At 43.7% G+C, this 14,909-nt stretch overlaps 1 protein-coding gene across 6 annotated transcripts in view, besides 3 other annotated features; it reads left to right on the forward strand.

Moving 5' to 3' along the window:
- Positions 6,445–14,909, forward strand: part of PLA1A (phospholipase A1 member A) — a 31,927-nt gene continuing 23,462 nt past the window's right edge. For 4 of the 6 annotated variants that reach the window (NR_120610.2, NM_015900.4, NM_001206960.2 and 1 more), the window contains exon 1: positions 6,445–6,546. Coding sequence is in view for 3 of the 6 variants with exons in the window: in NM_015900.4 (NP_056984.1) it covers positions 6,474–6,546 (73 nt within the window). In the remaining 3 variants the exon portion in view is untranslated. Of the gene's footprint in view, positions 6,547–7,126; positions 7,187–8,830; positions 8,965–14,909 lie in introns of those variants that run through there. The other 2 variants (XM_017006572.2, NM_001293225.2) reach the window with 2 other exon arrangements.
- Positions 7,124–7,313: an enhancer, noted in NCBI's record as "active region_20316". NCBI's record gives its function as "activates an Ori minimal core promoter by ATAC-STARR-seq in GM12878 lymphoblastoid cells {active_cell/tissue: GM12878}" and the evidence as "EXISTENCE:reporter gene assay evidence [ECO:0000049][PMID:35858748]".
- Positions 9,142–9,281: an enhancer, noted in NCBI's record as "active region_20317". NCBI's record gives its function as "activates an Ori minimal core promoter by ATAC-STARR-seq in GM12878 lymphoblastoid cells {active_cell/tissue: GM12878}" and the evidence as "EXISTENCE:reporter gene assay evidence [ECO:0000049][PMID:35858748]".
- Positions 9,462–9,961: an enhancer, noted in NCBI's record as "H3K4me1 hESC enhancer chr3:119319749-119320248 (GRCh37/hg19 assembly coordinates)". NCBI's record gives its function as "activates a minimal SCP1, AML or CMV promoter by ChIP-STARR-seq in primed H9 embryonic stem cells {active_cell/tissue: H9 hESC(primed)}" and the evidence as "EXISTENCE:reporter gene assay evidence [ECO:0000049][PMID:30033119]".

Here is a 14,909-nt window from a genome sequence, read left to right on the forward strand (position 1 = left end):
TGTCAGGAACGAGGGTCAAAGACCAAATATTTGAACAAAAGATTAGCACCCCTATCTACGAGGGTTTTAGGAGCTCTGCGTCAGAAACTCAGGCGTAGAGACCAGATACATATTTCTTACTATATCATCAGACCACGTCTTTAAAGCCCGTTTTCTTTGTACACACTCTACTACACTCTAATTGTTAGCTGTTTAAGTATTAGAAAATCATTCCTTAGAGGCAAAATGGTGTAGTATGGTGACAGTGTAAGCCTGTGCTCTCTTCACCTTCCTACAACTAAGTGGTGATGTCAAGAGGAAAGGCTAGGTGTAGGTTTGAGATCCGCATTTGGCAGCAGGGGAAGGGAAGGGACAGAGTGAGCCCAGGAAAAATTGTGAAGTGGGCAGAGAATCTTCACTCCCCTTCAGACTCTTTCCCCTTCTCAGGCAGCTCCCCCACCTCTGCACTCATTTTGCCCCTTGGTCACTGTAGAGACCCCACCCAATGCTTCGGACATGATCTAGACTTATCTGTTCGCACTGCGTTTGGTTATATCTGTCCCCACTTGCCAAGGTCCTTCACCTTTGTGGGCCTTGAGGTCATTGTCTCTACCAGCTGGTGGCCTCAGGCAAGTGACTCCTCTCAGGGTATTTGAGCTTGGAGCCCCTGAATTTTCAATACTAATGCCCAAAGAACATGAGTCTAAAATGGGGTTGTCTGACTTGGAGATAAGAGCAAAGAAAGAATCCTTTGGTCTCCCAATCTACAGAGCTGTGGATAGAAACATTTACTAATAGACAGCCATGCTTCAAAGCAGTGTTTCTCATCATTTTGGCTGGTATATGGACAACCCTCCTCCCCATTGTCAATGCCAGCAGATGGAAGTGACACAGTCCATCTGTTGGCCCACTTCAGGGGCCGGCTGTGTCTTCTTACTATATCTTCCTTCTAAAATACACTTTCTATTGGAGACTGCTCTAGTGAAGGTGACATTCTGAGGTGAGGTGGACTCTCTACTGTCCCTTATTCCACCAGCCCTGAATCCAGGAGACCTAGGAGGGGGGTGCTCTGAAGGTGTGAATTTTTTCCTTGTTGCAGGCACATGGTAATTGCTATGTAATTAGGACTAAGAAAAGGCATGCTCTGTGATCTTTTCCAGAGAGCTGCCATTGAAACCCGGCTCTGCCACCAGATGCCTCCAAGCCTCAGGTTGCTCAGGACTAATGTAAGTTGAGGCTAATAATGCCCACCTTGAGGAGAATGGTGAGAATGAGAGTGGGTAGCATAAATTCAGTGGAATGCATAAGGACCTATTGCTGGTGGTAGTTTTTCAAATTCAAATCCATGCTCTGCCACTTTGTGTAGCCTTGGGCAAGTTATTAAACCTTGCGCTGCCTGTTTCTGAACGTGGAAAATGGGGTTAATAATAGTATCTACCTTGTGGGATTGTTGTACTTTTTACACAGCATAGTATCTAGCATATAATAAGCAGTTAAACAAAAAATGGAAAAAGATGTGTTAACATATACTATCTATATATTATTGATAGCTTTTAGAAAGTGTATCTAGTGTCTTCTTTTTACCAAGCTGTCATGAAATGAGAGACCCAGGGATATTCCCAGACAACCACCTCCAGCCAGTTTCTTATGTCATTTGGGAAACTTTTGACACAACCCCGGGTGCTCACAGGGTTTTCTTTCTCTTCAACCTTCTCACAATACTCCCTTGCCATAATGCACACCCAAAGATAAACCCTTAAGGTTCACAATTTTACTTTGAAGTTAGGTGATCTCAGGGAATAAACACTAAACCATTGAATTTTAGTATCAAACTGTCATTTTAAAGCTACAAATAATTTTTAGCCTTCTCAACACTTGCAGGCTTGGCATCTCCTGCGGGGTACACAGCATCTCTGTTCTGGCAAAACCACAAGTGACCTTTTTGTCTGGGCTAATATAAAGCTGGTCTCTACTTATTCTTTCTGGAAAAACAGAGACAGAATATAGATGTTTTTAAATGAAAGTTAAAATAATGTGGTTTGGCATATTAGAGGCATGAAATGTTCTTTCTCCATAAGGTTTTAGACCGTACTGTGTGAAAAGCAGGTTCACTGTGATTTGTCTGAGTCTTGGGAGACAGAACACCTATGCATGCAATGAGTTACAGGAATCTGGCTTATTACTTACAGCTAGGCAGCAGACAACAGAAGCCTGAAATTCATGTGAGCCAGTACCCAAGGCTTAGGAAAGCTGCCTGTGGCACACGGATCCTCATCTGCACATGCCCACTTGTACCACAACTGAGGACCCCCAGGAAGGCAGCCCACCCTGGGTTTTATATTCAAAGGAAACAAGAATCACTGAGCTAAAGCATTGAAGGATATCGTGTTTGGGGGTGTGGGGTAGTCGGGGGACTGGAACAGATTCCAGGATGTTGGATTCCCAGCACATTCTACAGTTATTCTTGAGAACTATAAGCCAGAAAGCTGAAAGAACCGGGCCCAGTCCAAGACCTTGAAAACTGTCTTGCACTACACTTATATTTTATGACTTGTTCTGAGAAGGTAAGTGTGTGTGCGTGCACGCACGTGCATGTACCCATGTTCACATGCAGGACATACAGGACAGCAGGAGTGGAGAGACTCCATAATCGTGCTCTTCACCTCAAATTGGAATCTGGCAAGATTGGACTTTCTGAAAATCAGGTAGGATAAGGGCTTCAAGCCATTTTGGGTTGAGCACTAAAATTTCATGACACATTCTATCTGATGGAATTCTATGCAACCTTAAAAGAAGAATGAGGCAGCTCCAAAGTATTTTGTTTAATGTGAAACTCAAGGTTCAAAAGAGTTTGCGTAAGCCTGGGCGTGGTGGCTCACACGTAGAATCTGAGCACTTTGGGAGGCAAAAGTGGGAAGATGACTTCAGCCCAGGAGTTCAAGACCAGCCTGGGCAACATGGCGAAACCCTGTCTCTTAAAAAAAAAAAAAAGAAAAGAAAGAAAGAGAGAAAGAAAGAAAGAAAAATTAGATGGCCATGGTGGTGTGTGCCTGTACCAGCCACTTGGGAGGCCAAGGTGGGAGAATCACTTGAGCCCAGGAGGCCAAGACTGCAGTGAGCCATGATTGCACTGCTGCACTTCAGCCTGGGTGACAGAGCAAGACACTGTCAAAAAAAAAAAAAAAAAAAAAAGTAGTAGGTCAAAAGAAGGGTGTAAAAATCTAAAAAGCATGAGATAGAATATCTTTAGGAGGATAAGCAAGAAAACCATGACAATGCCTGATTTCTATAGGATTGGGAAACTTGGGGGAAAGGGATGGAGATTTATTTTTAACCATGTTTTTGTATTTTTTAAAAAAGCATATATGTGTAGACCTATTACAAAATACATGTTAGGCCAGATATGGTGGCTCACACCTCTAATCTCAATGCTTTGAGGTTGAGATGGGAAGATTGCTTGAGACCAGAAGTTTGAGATCAGCGTGGGCAATACAGCGAGACCTCTATCTCTACAAAATAATTTTAAAAAATTAGCCAGGCATGGTGGCAGGTGCCTGTACTCCAAGCTATTTGAGAGACTGAGGTGGGAGGATCACTTGAGGCCAGGAGGTCGAGGCTGCAGTGAGCCAAGATTACACCACTACACTCCAGCCTGGTTGATAGAGCAAGACCCTGTCTCAAAAATAAATAAATAAATAAATAAATAAATAAATAAATAAATAAATAAATAAAATTAGCTGGGTGTGGTAGTGTGCACCTATAGTCTCAGCTACTCAGGAGGTTGAGGCAGGAGGATTGCTTGAGCTCAAGAAGTGAGGCTGTGGTGAGCCATTATTACACCACTGCATTTCAGAATTTTGAACATTGATGCCCTGGTCCCTTGCTCATTGTGTACCCAGATCCTAGGCAAATAAAACCATCTGTCTCCACCTTACAATGGGTGAGTAGGACCCCCTTTCTAAAAGAGGGGTGGGAACTAACCAGCACACCCTACCAGTTGAACAATGCCTTCCCCTGGCAAATACTTATTGACCACTGGCTGTGTAGCAAGTACTGTGTTACATACTGGGATATCTCAGTGAGCAAAACAGGCCAGGACTCTGCCCTTCTGAGGCTGACATTCTCCTTGGGGGAGATGGACAGCATACACTGAATATGAATTGTGGCTCTCTCAGTGTCTCCAGGTAGGAGGGTCTCATCCTCACCTTCTAAAATATGTAATCTCACTTTTCAGAAGGACGAGGTTTAGTCCAATAAAACTCTTGCATATCTTGTTTCGCCTTGGCCCTCTCAAGCAGTGTCCCTAGCCCCTGGCCTATCTGAGCTTCAGTTTCTCCACTGGTGAAATGGACATGGCTATTGTAAGTATTAACAGAAGACTAGTGGTTCTAGCATGCGTACGATCACCCGAGGAGCCTGCTGGAACTGCAGAGTCCTGGGCCCAGTTCCAAAGATTCTCATTCTGTGTGTCTGGGGTGGATCCAGCAATCTGTCCCAAGTCAATTGGATGGTTGTGAGGCAGGGGGTTCTGGAAGGGACCACTCTGACCCCGCTTGGAGAGCTCTGTGCTAGATGTTGGATGTGAAAGAAAGTGAAAGTGCTCTCTCAATGTCAGCTGTATTCATGCCATGCACAAGGGCACCCTGGATTAACTATCTCTGGCCACGGTGTGGGTGGCTAGGAAAACAGCCCTCAGTTCTCCTGCTGTAGGGAAAATGATTGACTGATGGCTCCAGCTGCTGTCTTCTGAATCTACCTCTGTCTTTGTGCTGAGGCTGACCTCAGCTAATGACTAAGCAAGATGTGGCTGCTAATGCAGGCTCATTTCTACAAAACACATCTGCTGTCACAAAAGACTTTGGCCTGAGGAGTCCCCATTGGCCTGGTCAGAATATTCTAGAAACTGTGCTGCAGCCTGAGACTCTTCCTATGTAATCCTCTCTTTCCTGCCCATTCTCTTTCACAGGTATCAGATGTTCACCACCATCTAAAGGCGCTTCCTGGCTTCTCTAGTACCTCTTATTCTTTACAGGTGTTAGCTCGATAAATCTCTTGCATATCTTGTCTTACCTTGGCATCTTCTTCTCCGAGGACCTGAACTCATACACTTGGCTTGGTCTCTAATATCAAGACAGCTTTCAGTAGTGACCTCTGCTGTGCACTACTTATTGCCACACCCCTTCCTGGTTGCAGCAGCACTTGAGCAGTGAGATCATGTGCACAAGGGGATGTAAGGGCTAGCCCCTCCAAAATAATTGTATCCTGCGTTCAGCCATGATGACATGGTCCCAGAGCCTCTTCAGGAGTTGTTGCTGTAGAGTATCGTTGCTCAGAGCATGGATTCTGGGGCTGGCTCATCCCGCTTTAAATCCCAGCTCTGCATGACCTCAGGCAAATGACTTAAATTCTCTGTGCCCTACCAGCTGTGTAAAACACAAATGTTTGTATTTAATACAAATTACTTCTATCACAGAGAAGTAATTTGTACTTATCTGTGCTTACTAACTGTGTAATTGTCACAGTTAAGTAATTTGTATACAATTATAATACAAATAAGTAATTTGTTGTACAAATTACTTAACTTCTCTGTGATAATACTCACCTCAGAGAGTTATTGTTTGGAAAAGATGATCCTGGCCCTGCCAGTGGGCTGTCTACCTCACAGCAATGTGTTATGATTTAGGGAGTGGGGGGCAAGTGCCCTGCCCTCTGCCTCTGCCCCATTGACTTGCCTAGAAATAGCTCTTTGTGGTTTCTGCCACTCTTTGGGGTGGAGAGGCCATATGGTGCTGGAACCATCTTGGTTCCAGGCCCGGCTCTGCCACTTCCACCAACGGGATCTCTACAGGTCATTTTCTTTTTCTAATATGCAGTTTCTTTGTGAATTCAGGAAGTTGAACATCTCCAAAGTTGGACTTGACTCCTAGCCCCAAGATTCTACAAAATGATAGTACTCTCCAGAGGAAACTTTTTCTTCCCTTCTTCCCTTTAAATGGACACTTAATATATAGTATTATCTCAGTCTTGTGCTAGGCACTGGGTATTCAAAAATGAAAAGAGAAAGCCTTTGCTCTCAAGTCACTCAGAATCTTCTAGGGAGACACACATGTCCACAGATAATTCCAACACAATGAGGGGTTTCTGGCCACCCAGAGATGCAGGACTTCTGCCTTGGTTATTACTAACATCCTATCACGGGAAGTGGGAGAGGTGCAGGAAATAGTTTCCTGATCATGTTTGGCTCAAAGAGGGACAGTGTGTTTCAATGCACTCTGGTTAACAAAAAAGAAAGTGTATTTATTTTCATTGAGAAGAAGAAACCGAAAACTCTGGCATTTAAATAAATAAAGAAGAATTTATTTTTCCTTTTCAGGTCATGAGGCTAGTTAATGATTAGTGAAATCCACGTGGGTGTTTTCTGAGAGGCTGGGTTATATGATCTCTTTGGCTTTAGGGAATTACTCCATACCAGCTCTGAGATTTCCAGCTCAGCGATGCCCCCAGGTCCCTGGGAGAGCTGCTTCTGGGTGGGGGGCCTCATTTTGTGGCTCAGCGTTGGAAGTTCAGGTAAGCCAGGGCTCAGGCCTTGGGAGGAACTTATTTCAGTCAGTGATCATATTTCTCCAACTACTTATGCAGTACTAACTTTTGGAAGATCCCCTAAAAGCCTTTTGCCTCTTCTGAGGTGAATTTAAAACAGTAGGGGAAAAAAACCCCTTTTATCATAATCGGAATGATGGTAAACAGGTCACAAAACCTGAACTTTCCCTGGTTATCCGACTCATTTTTCTAAAGCCCACATAAAAAAACCCTTTCTCACCTTGCACAAGCCAGGACCAACTGTAAGAAAATAAAATTTGGTTAATTCTAAGATATTCATTTTTCACCCCATAAATATCCACCATTCCAAGATATATTTAATTTTAAAATTTAGGTTTTCCAAACTAATAATGATTTTGTCACTGAGATTGTTAGATGTCCTTTCTAATCCAGCAACCTAACTCAAGTGGTTTGTCATCCTGGCTGGGTGATGGGAACTAGTCCCTGCTAACCTCAGATGCCCCTGGGAAAACTTCCCTCAGATGCCAATTTGCATTTACCTTTCCCCCAGTAAAGAACTGACCCACTGATCCCTCTTGCCTAACAGAAAATTAACCTGCTCTACTTTGGGTTCTCAGAAGTTCTCAGAAGACTCCTTCTCACTATGGTGAGGTCACCCTTAGAAAAATCCCCTCCCTCTACTCACAATAGCAGGCTGCTTTTCTGTCTTCTCCGCTGGACATTTAATTCTCATTCCCTGGCTCTAGAATATGTCATTGCTTCTGCCTGGGGTTGCTCACATCACCTTTGGATTGATTTCTGTTCTTTGCATCTTTCAAGGGGGCTTCTGTATTCCTATCTCCCTTGTACTCATTCTTTTTCTGCTCAGCACCCCTCCCTGCTACAAAGTTCCACTGGGTGACTGCATGCTCTCCTTGCACTCATGGGTGGTTTTTCAGAGGTGCTGTTGAGCTCTGTATGTGCTTTCTCCTACCTCAATTAGTTGTCCCTAAAAGGTGAGGATTTGAGGCTTCTGTCTCTTTTAGCATAGTTAGTGCTGTGCTCTGTATAGAGCAGATGTCCAGTGAATATTGCAGACATTGATGCTTAGAGGAGGCAATGGGCTGAGCTGATGGGGAATAGGCTCTGTCTGGGTCGGGCTAACCCAGACTGGAATCCTGGCTCTGTTTCTTTGTAGCTATGTGACCTTGAGGAAGTGGCTTTCTTTACCTGTAGCTAGAGATGATCCTTACCAGATAGGAATGCTGTAAGGACTGAATGGGATCATCTGTGCACAGGGCCTGACTTTTGCAGTTGCTTATTCCTTTGTGATTTTATTATTAGCAAATTGTTGTCTAGGCTGATGGAAGTGGAGGGAACAGGGCTGTCATGAGCCACCTTGGAGAGAAGGTGGGAGGTATCACCTAGGAGAGCTGTGGGTCCCGTTCTGAGAAGTGGGCTTGGCAGGCCCACTTTGTCCCTGCTCAGGAGCCCCAGGCCTCCTTAGGGGCTGGAAGGCATTTGCTAGTTGTCCTGATTTGAAGGTTGAGGAGTGGGAGGACTATAGCAAATTGGCATCAAACTCTTTTTGGAAGCTCATCTGTCGGTAAGCCTGGGGCCTCTGTCACACAGATAAGAGAAGCTCAGAAATTCTGAACCAGATAGCAGGGTTAGGGTCAGCGCAGAAGCTGATCAGGTTCCAGCCACATATGTGGGAATCATTCTAGATGCTCTGGGCAGGAAGTGGGCTTATAATAACATGTTAGCAGGGCCTGGGTATTTCCTTGCCTGGTCTTCTTGCCTTTGTTTGTCTCTGGTGTCTTTCTTTTCACACTTACCCAGTGAGGCATTCTCTATTTCCCATCCGCTTCTCTTCCTTTCCCACCTTAACTGAGTGTTTCACTGTCAACAGCAACAATATTTATTAAGTTAATGTTCCTTATTCTTACTTTTAGTAGTGCTGTCTCAGAAATTAAGTGAGTTGATGGATAGGCAGAGATAGAAGTGTGTGTGCGTGTGTGTGTGTGTGTGGCTGGGAGGGATAGAAATATGCCAAAGGGAAAAGGAAAAAGGATGTAATTGACTTCAGACAGCCTAGATGAAGTAGGTGGACAGAAAGAAGATGCCGGATGCAGAGAGCTCAAGGTAAAGGAAAGGAAGAGCTCAAATGATCGGGAGGGAGGAGGTTCAGGAGGTATCCAGGTGCCTGCTGTCACACAAGGGCAGTAGCTGACCCACATGGGCCTCTTGGAAGTTCAGCCTCCACTCACTTTCCTGGCTGTGTACCCACACAATCTTTCATGACAACCCCAGTCACACCTAGTTTTTCCTTGGACTGTGGAGCTTTAGATTGTTGAGCTCCTTGATCAACCTGGCCCTTGAGCTTCCAGGCTGGCTCAGGCGTCCTCTCCTCCAGGTGGATGCACAAGTCTTCCTCCATCTGGGGTAGGTGGTCTTTCTTTGTGTTCTCTCAGTACCTATGTTTCCTGGTCACAGATCTTACATCCCTATTTGCTGTGGGGCCTGCTTATTTTCCCTTTCTCCGCTAGACTTTGAGCTCCCAAAGGGCAGTTATGGCTGGCGTCTTCTTCATCCTTGAATCCCCAGAGCCTCACCCAGGCCCAGGCACACAGGACACATTCAATAAGCCAAAAGCCTTGGTAACTGAGAAGAAAGAAATTGAGCGGGCTGCAGTCCTCATCTCTACTTCCTGACGTTAGGCAGATTGATTAAATGACACTCATCCTGAAACAATTCAGCCAAAGAAGGGTTCCAGAGGGTGGCCCATTTCAGAGACACTCCTGGCTGCTGATGCCTCAATCCACAGGTCATCTGATAGCACAGCTCTGTCTGTGGGGAGCCCAGGGCTCAAGGGGGTGGCAGGAAGTTCAGTGGCCCATAGTGCTGAGCTGGTGGCAGAAGCAGCCTGTGACACCAGCCTCTGTAAGGCCAGCCTGGGCCTGAAGGTGGTGCTGCACCCTGCATGCGTGGCAGAGCCACCCTCAAGTCAGCTATTGGGAGGGGGCCTCCGCCCTCCTCCCCTCCTGCAGTGTCTTCCCGAGGAGCCTGGAGGAGGGTGCCTGCTTCCCGACACATGCACCGATGGCTCCTCTGTCATCTCCACATTTGATAACAAAGTGTCTGATGTGGTTTTGTGCCAACTCTGTCACTGCCAGAACACCCTTCCCTTCTTGGTCCAGGCCACAGAATCAAAACTGTTTTAGCAAAATAACACTTCTACGAAACAAAAGCCCATGGGGGATACCGATCTACAGAACACACCTGAGACAGGTGCAGGTGGGAGTGCAGAGTAGCACATTTCCAGCATTTGCAGATCACAGAGGCCACCCATGGGAACCATGAGCAGCCCAGGCGGGTGAAGGGAGCTCTGTCATATATGCCTGAGAGTCACTTTCCATTATGGAAACATGGGTGTTACCAGGCCTTACTCACCCTTCTCTAACACTTCTTCAGTGTCAAAGACTCAAGAATAGAAAACTATAGGCTATTTTCAGACTCAGACAAGCCAGTATTTCATTCTGCACCCCTCATTTCTATTGTTTATAAATCTCTGGTCAGCCTGGCCAGATACTCATGTGTCACTGTTCTTTGGTTGGAGTGGTGGCTAGGTAGAGGCAGTATCTGAATATGCTTCCCTATTTATCAGCTTCAAATACTGGCAATTTTCTTCTCTCCCTTTTCAAACTTTATAACTTTTATCCCATTGCATTGTCTTGTTTCAGTGGTTAGGACTAGGTCCTCTAGCACAATATTTAATAGAAGCAGTGATAGCAGACATTTCTTATCTGTTCCCTGTTCTAAATGGAATACTTCTAATATTTCCCAGTAAATCTAATCCTTACTGTAGGCTTTTAGGAGATATCCTTTCTTATGTTAAAGAGGGTTGAATTTTGTCAAGTGTTCTTTTTTTCTGCTCATCCGTTGAGATGAGCATATGGTTTTTCTTCTTTAGTTTGTTCATACGTGAATTATATTAATACTTTTTTTAATGTTAAAACAGCCTTTAATTCTTTGCAAAGAATTGGCCCAGCAAACCTTGCTGGGCCATGATGTACTTTGTGGTCTTGTTATCCTGGATGGATTTAGATTTGCTGATATTTTATCTTAGATTTCTGTTTATGTTTATAAATGAAAGTAGCCTTTAGTTTTTCCTTCTCCCCTGTCCTTTGCACTTTTGGTACTTCGGATATTCTCATAGAATGAACTGGAATCCTGTCTCCCATTTTCTATTCCTGGAACAGCATGTGTAAGCTAGGGATCAATAGAATTCCTCTGTGAAACTCTCAGGCCTCTTAGACTTTTCTGAGGGATAGTTTTGAAACTAGTGTTTCAATTCCTTTATGCTATAGTTTTACATTTGATTTTCTGTTTTTCCTTTCTTGACTAAGTTTTGGTAAGTTACGTTTTTCTAGGAAATGATCCATTTTCTAGCAAAATATCAGTATTTTCAGTTTTGGGGTGGATATAAACTTTTTTATGGTGTAAGGAAATCTACTGTCTGTATTTATATACCTTTTTTATTCCTGATATTGTTTACTTTTAACTTCCCTTTGTTCTGTTACTCTGTCTTATCAAAAGTACATCTAGCTCATTATTCTTTTCAAAGAGCCAGTTTTGGGTACTGGCTCTTTGTGTGTGACAGGTACTATTTTAGGCAGTAGAGTGAACAAAATGGATTTTAAAAATCCCTGCTTTGTTCAAAAGTACATTCTAATGTGGACTGACCACTAATAGAAAATAAGTATAATAACTTGGCAAATTCCATAGTAGATTAGAAGGTGATGATTGCTAACAAATAAATAGACCAGGGTAAGGATGATTGAGAGAAATGAAGTGAGGAACACAAGCAGGTTACAACTGAAATAGGATGTGAGAGTAGACAAGAGAGCACTTGACAAGCAAAGACTTGAAGGAGGGGAAGGAACTGCCATGTAGATACATAAGGGAAATGCATTCCAGGCAGAAGGAACAGCCGGGCAAAGACCCTCAGGCAGGAAGCCATCTAGAGTGAGGAAGGGCAAGGAGAACTACTGGCTGCAATAGTGAGTGATTGTAGCATAAGGCAAAGGACTCTTGGAGTGGGGTGGATTAGCTCAGTTAGGGCCTTACAGTCCATTGTTAGGACTTCAGGTTTCAATCTGAGAGAAAAGGCTTGGAGACTTTTGCACAGAGATGTAACATGACTTGACTGACTTAAAAAAAAAAATCGTGACTGCTGTGTTGCAAATAGACTGAAGGGGCCAAAAGAGAGGGCAAGAAATGCAGTTGCAGGCTATGGCAGTGGCTGTGAGAGATGATGGTGGCTTAGGCCAAGGTGGTGAGAAGGGTTAGATTCTGAATATTTCATTCTGATGGTCAAGCCAACAGAACTTACCAATTGTATGTGGGATGTGAGAGATAGGAAAGAGTCAAAGATATCCCAGGCAACTTTGCAAAGCCTGAGAAATTGTAATGACTAAGTTGCTACCAATGTTGCTCATATTTCCTTATTTTCTATTTCTTCAATTTCAACTATTACCTTTATATTTCTTTCCCTATATTTTATTTGGAATTACTGTGGTATTCTTTTCTGAGTTAAAATATTAGCTTATCTAATCTAAGTCTTTCCCTTCTCCCCTCCCCCACCAACATTTGCATGTAAGTTACACATTTTTCCCTATTAAAAGGTAAACTTAGGCACATTAAAATTTTAAATAGTTTATTTGAACAAACAGTGATTTATGGTTTGGGCTGCTTCACACTGCAAGTGGCTCAGGGCTCCACCAAAGGGATGTGAAGAATAAATTTTATAAGGTGCCTATGAATGAAGCAAGGCAAAGAAAATATTTGATTGATTAAAGTGGAGCAGTACCTTAAGGTCCCTAGTCAGAGGTTAGTTGGAAGCTTCTGAGTGGTAAAGCTTAAGCCTCAGTTTCCTAGGACACAGCTCTTCACTATGAGTTGGGGTGTGGTGAGCTTCTGTAGGAACTCAACCACTAGAGCTTCCTCAGTCTAATGGCTTCCCAAAGAATTATTTTAACAACCCAAGTGCTGTTTTAGCCACTCTTTGCAAGTTTTGATATGTGCTGGTTTTATTGTCGTTTAGTTTTTAATATTCTGTACTTTTCATTGTGATTATTCTTTAACCCATACATTCCTTAAAAGGTTAAAAGGGTGTTTTTCTGTTGGTAGGAGTGTAAATTAGTATAGCCACTATGGAGAATACGATGGAGGCTCCTCAGAAAACTAAAGATAGAACTTCCATATGATCCAGCAATTCCACTACTGGGTATATATCCAAAAGAAAGGAAAGGAAGTCAGTATATCAAAGAGATATCTGCACTCTCACGTTTATTTCAGCACTGTTCACAATAGCCAAGATATAGAACCAACCTAAGAGCCCATCAACTAATGAATGAATAAAAAAAAAGAAGATGTGGTATACATACACAAAGGAATACTATTCAGCCTTTAAAAAGAAGGAAATCCTGCCATTTGCAGCAACATGGATGGAACTGGAGGCCATTATGTTAAGTGAAATAAGCCAAGCACAGGAAGACAAATATCACATTTTCACACATATGTAGGAGCTAAAAAAGTGGATTCATGATGATAGAGAGTAGTAGATTGTGGCTCTCAGAGGCTGAGAAGGGGGAAGGAGTTGGGAATGAAGGGGAGAAAAGAATATACATGTATTTATTACCACTGAACTGTACACTTAAAAAAGGTAAAGATGATAATTTATATTCTTTTACCTGAATATAAAAAATTTTTAAAAATCTTGAACAAGCTTCAGCAATATGTGTCCATGAGGAATTGTGCCAAGGAGTTTCTCTTTGTAATGGGCTGGTAAAAATACCACAGGCACATGGGATGGGCTTGTCCTATTGTAAAAAAATGGAGGGGGTGTTTTTACATGTCCAAATGTATATTAAAATAATTTTTGTTATTGATTTCTAGTTTTATTACATTTTATTTAGATGATATTGATTCTTTGGTGATTATTTGGGCCTGCTTTGTGACATATTATGCTCATTTAAAAGGACTCAAACTCTCTGATGGATGCAGGCTGCCCTATATGAACAATAGAGCAGAGTGACTCATTAATGTGGTTTGCATCTCATGCTGAAACACAGTCTTTTCATCTTTTCTTTAAAGAGCCAAATGCTGGGGGAGGCTGATAAAATGATGGAGTCAGGCATTAGCTCTCTCATGTGCTGTGGGAGTTCAAGCCACAGGCTGAAGAGCTTAGGGCCGGCACTCTCAGAGTGGGCTTCATCCCAGGAGCCTCCAAACCTGCCTGCTTGGTCTGCCTCTGCAAGGGGATTGAGGACAAAGTCTGGGGCTCAGAAGCAGTGATGGGGAAACCTCTAGTCTACCACAGCGATGCTCCAGAAGGCCTCATGGCTTGAGGTATTCTCCACAGGTGGGGTTCCCACAATTCACTCATAGCACCATATCCCAGAGCATCCCAGATCCACACTCCTGTTGTATATGAGCTCCCAGTTACCTCTGATAGAAGATAATCACTCCAGAAATCTAAAGTTACTGTCTTCCTCAACAAAGGGGCTCACACAAACCGAAGTCTGCAATCTGGATGTCTCCTCTGAACCTCTGATTCTGTGAATCACTTTGTCTGGTGGCAGCAATGCTGTGTGGGACTGTGTTCTGCGGGTCAGCATGTACCCTGCTGCTCCTGCCAGTCTCCCTTTGGGATGCATGGAAGTCAGGGACCACACCTCTGCATCACAGAAGTGGGGATCGGGGTGTGATGCTGGGTGCTGAAAATGGGCCAGATTTTCAGCTCCCTGGGAAGCAGGAGTTTCATGTTGCCTTTTCTGTTCAGTGTTTTTTAAAGGCCTGCAGTTACCTTTGCCAGAGAATTTCCATTGTAAAGGTATCTATTGCAAGGTGCTGTGAAGTAGGTGAGACTTGTCAAGGCTCTTCTCTGTCATCTATCTAGGCTATGGGCTGGGCACTGGAAGGCTATGGCAGGGCTCTTGACTGCTCATAAGGACAAGAAGTGATTAGGTGGGGCTAAAGAGTTGAAAATCCTTCCAGGAGGGAGTGTTCAGACTAGACTGAGGCTAGTCCGCAGGGCAACTGTTCATTTGGCTGCCCAGGGTTCTATTTAGAATTCTCTACTAGTTTGCTAGGGATACCATAAGGAAGTGCCATGGACTGGGTGGCTAGAACAATGGAAATGTATTGCCTCACAATTCTGGAGGCTGGAAGTCTGAGATCAAGATGTTGGCAGTGTTAGTTCCTTCAGGGCAATGAGCAAAGGATCTGTTCCAGGACACTGTCCTTGGCTTGTAGATGGCCACTGTCTCCCTATGTCTTTACAACATCCTCCCTCTGTCTGTGTCCAAATTTCCTCTTTATATAAA

This window comes from Homo sapiens, chromosome 3 (assembly GCF_000001405.40).
Source record: "Homo sapiens chromosome 3, GRCh38.p14 Primary Assembly".
Taxonomy (NCBI): Eukaryota; Metazoa; Chordata; class Mammalia; order Primates; family Hominidae; genus Homo; species Homo sapiens.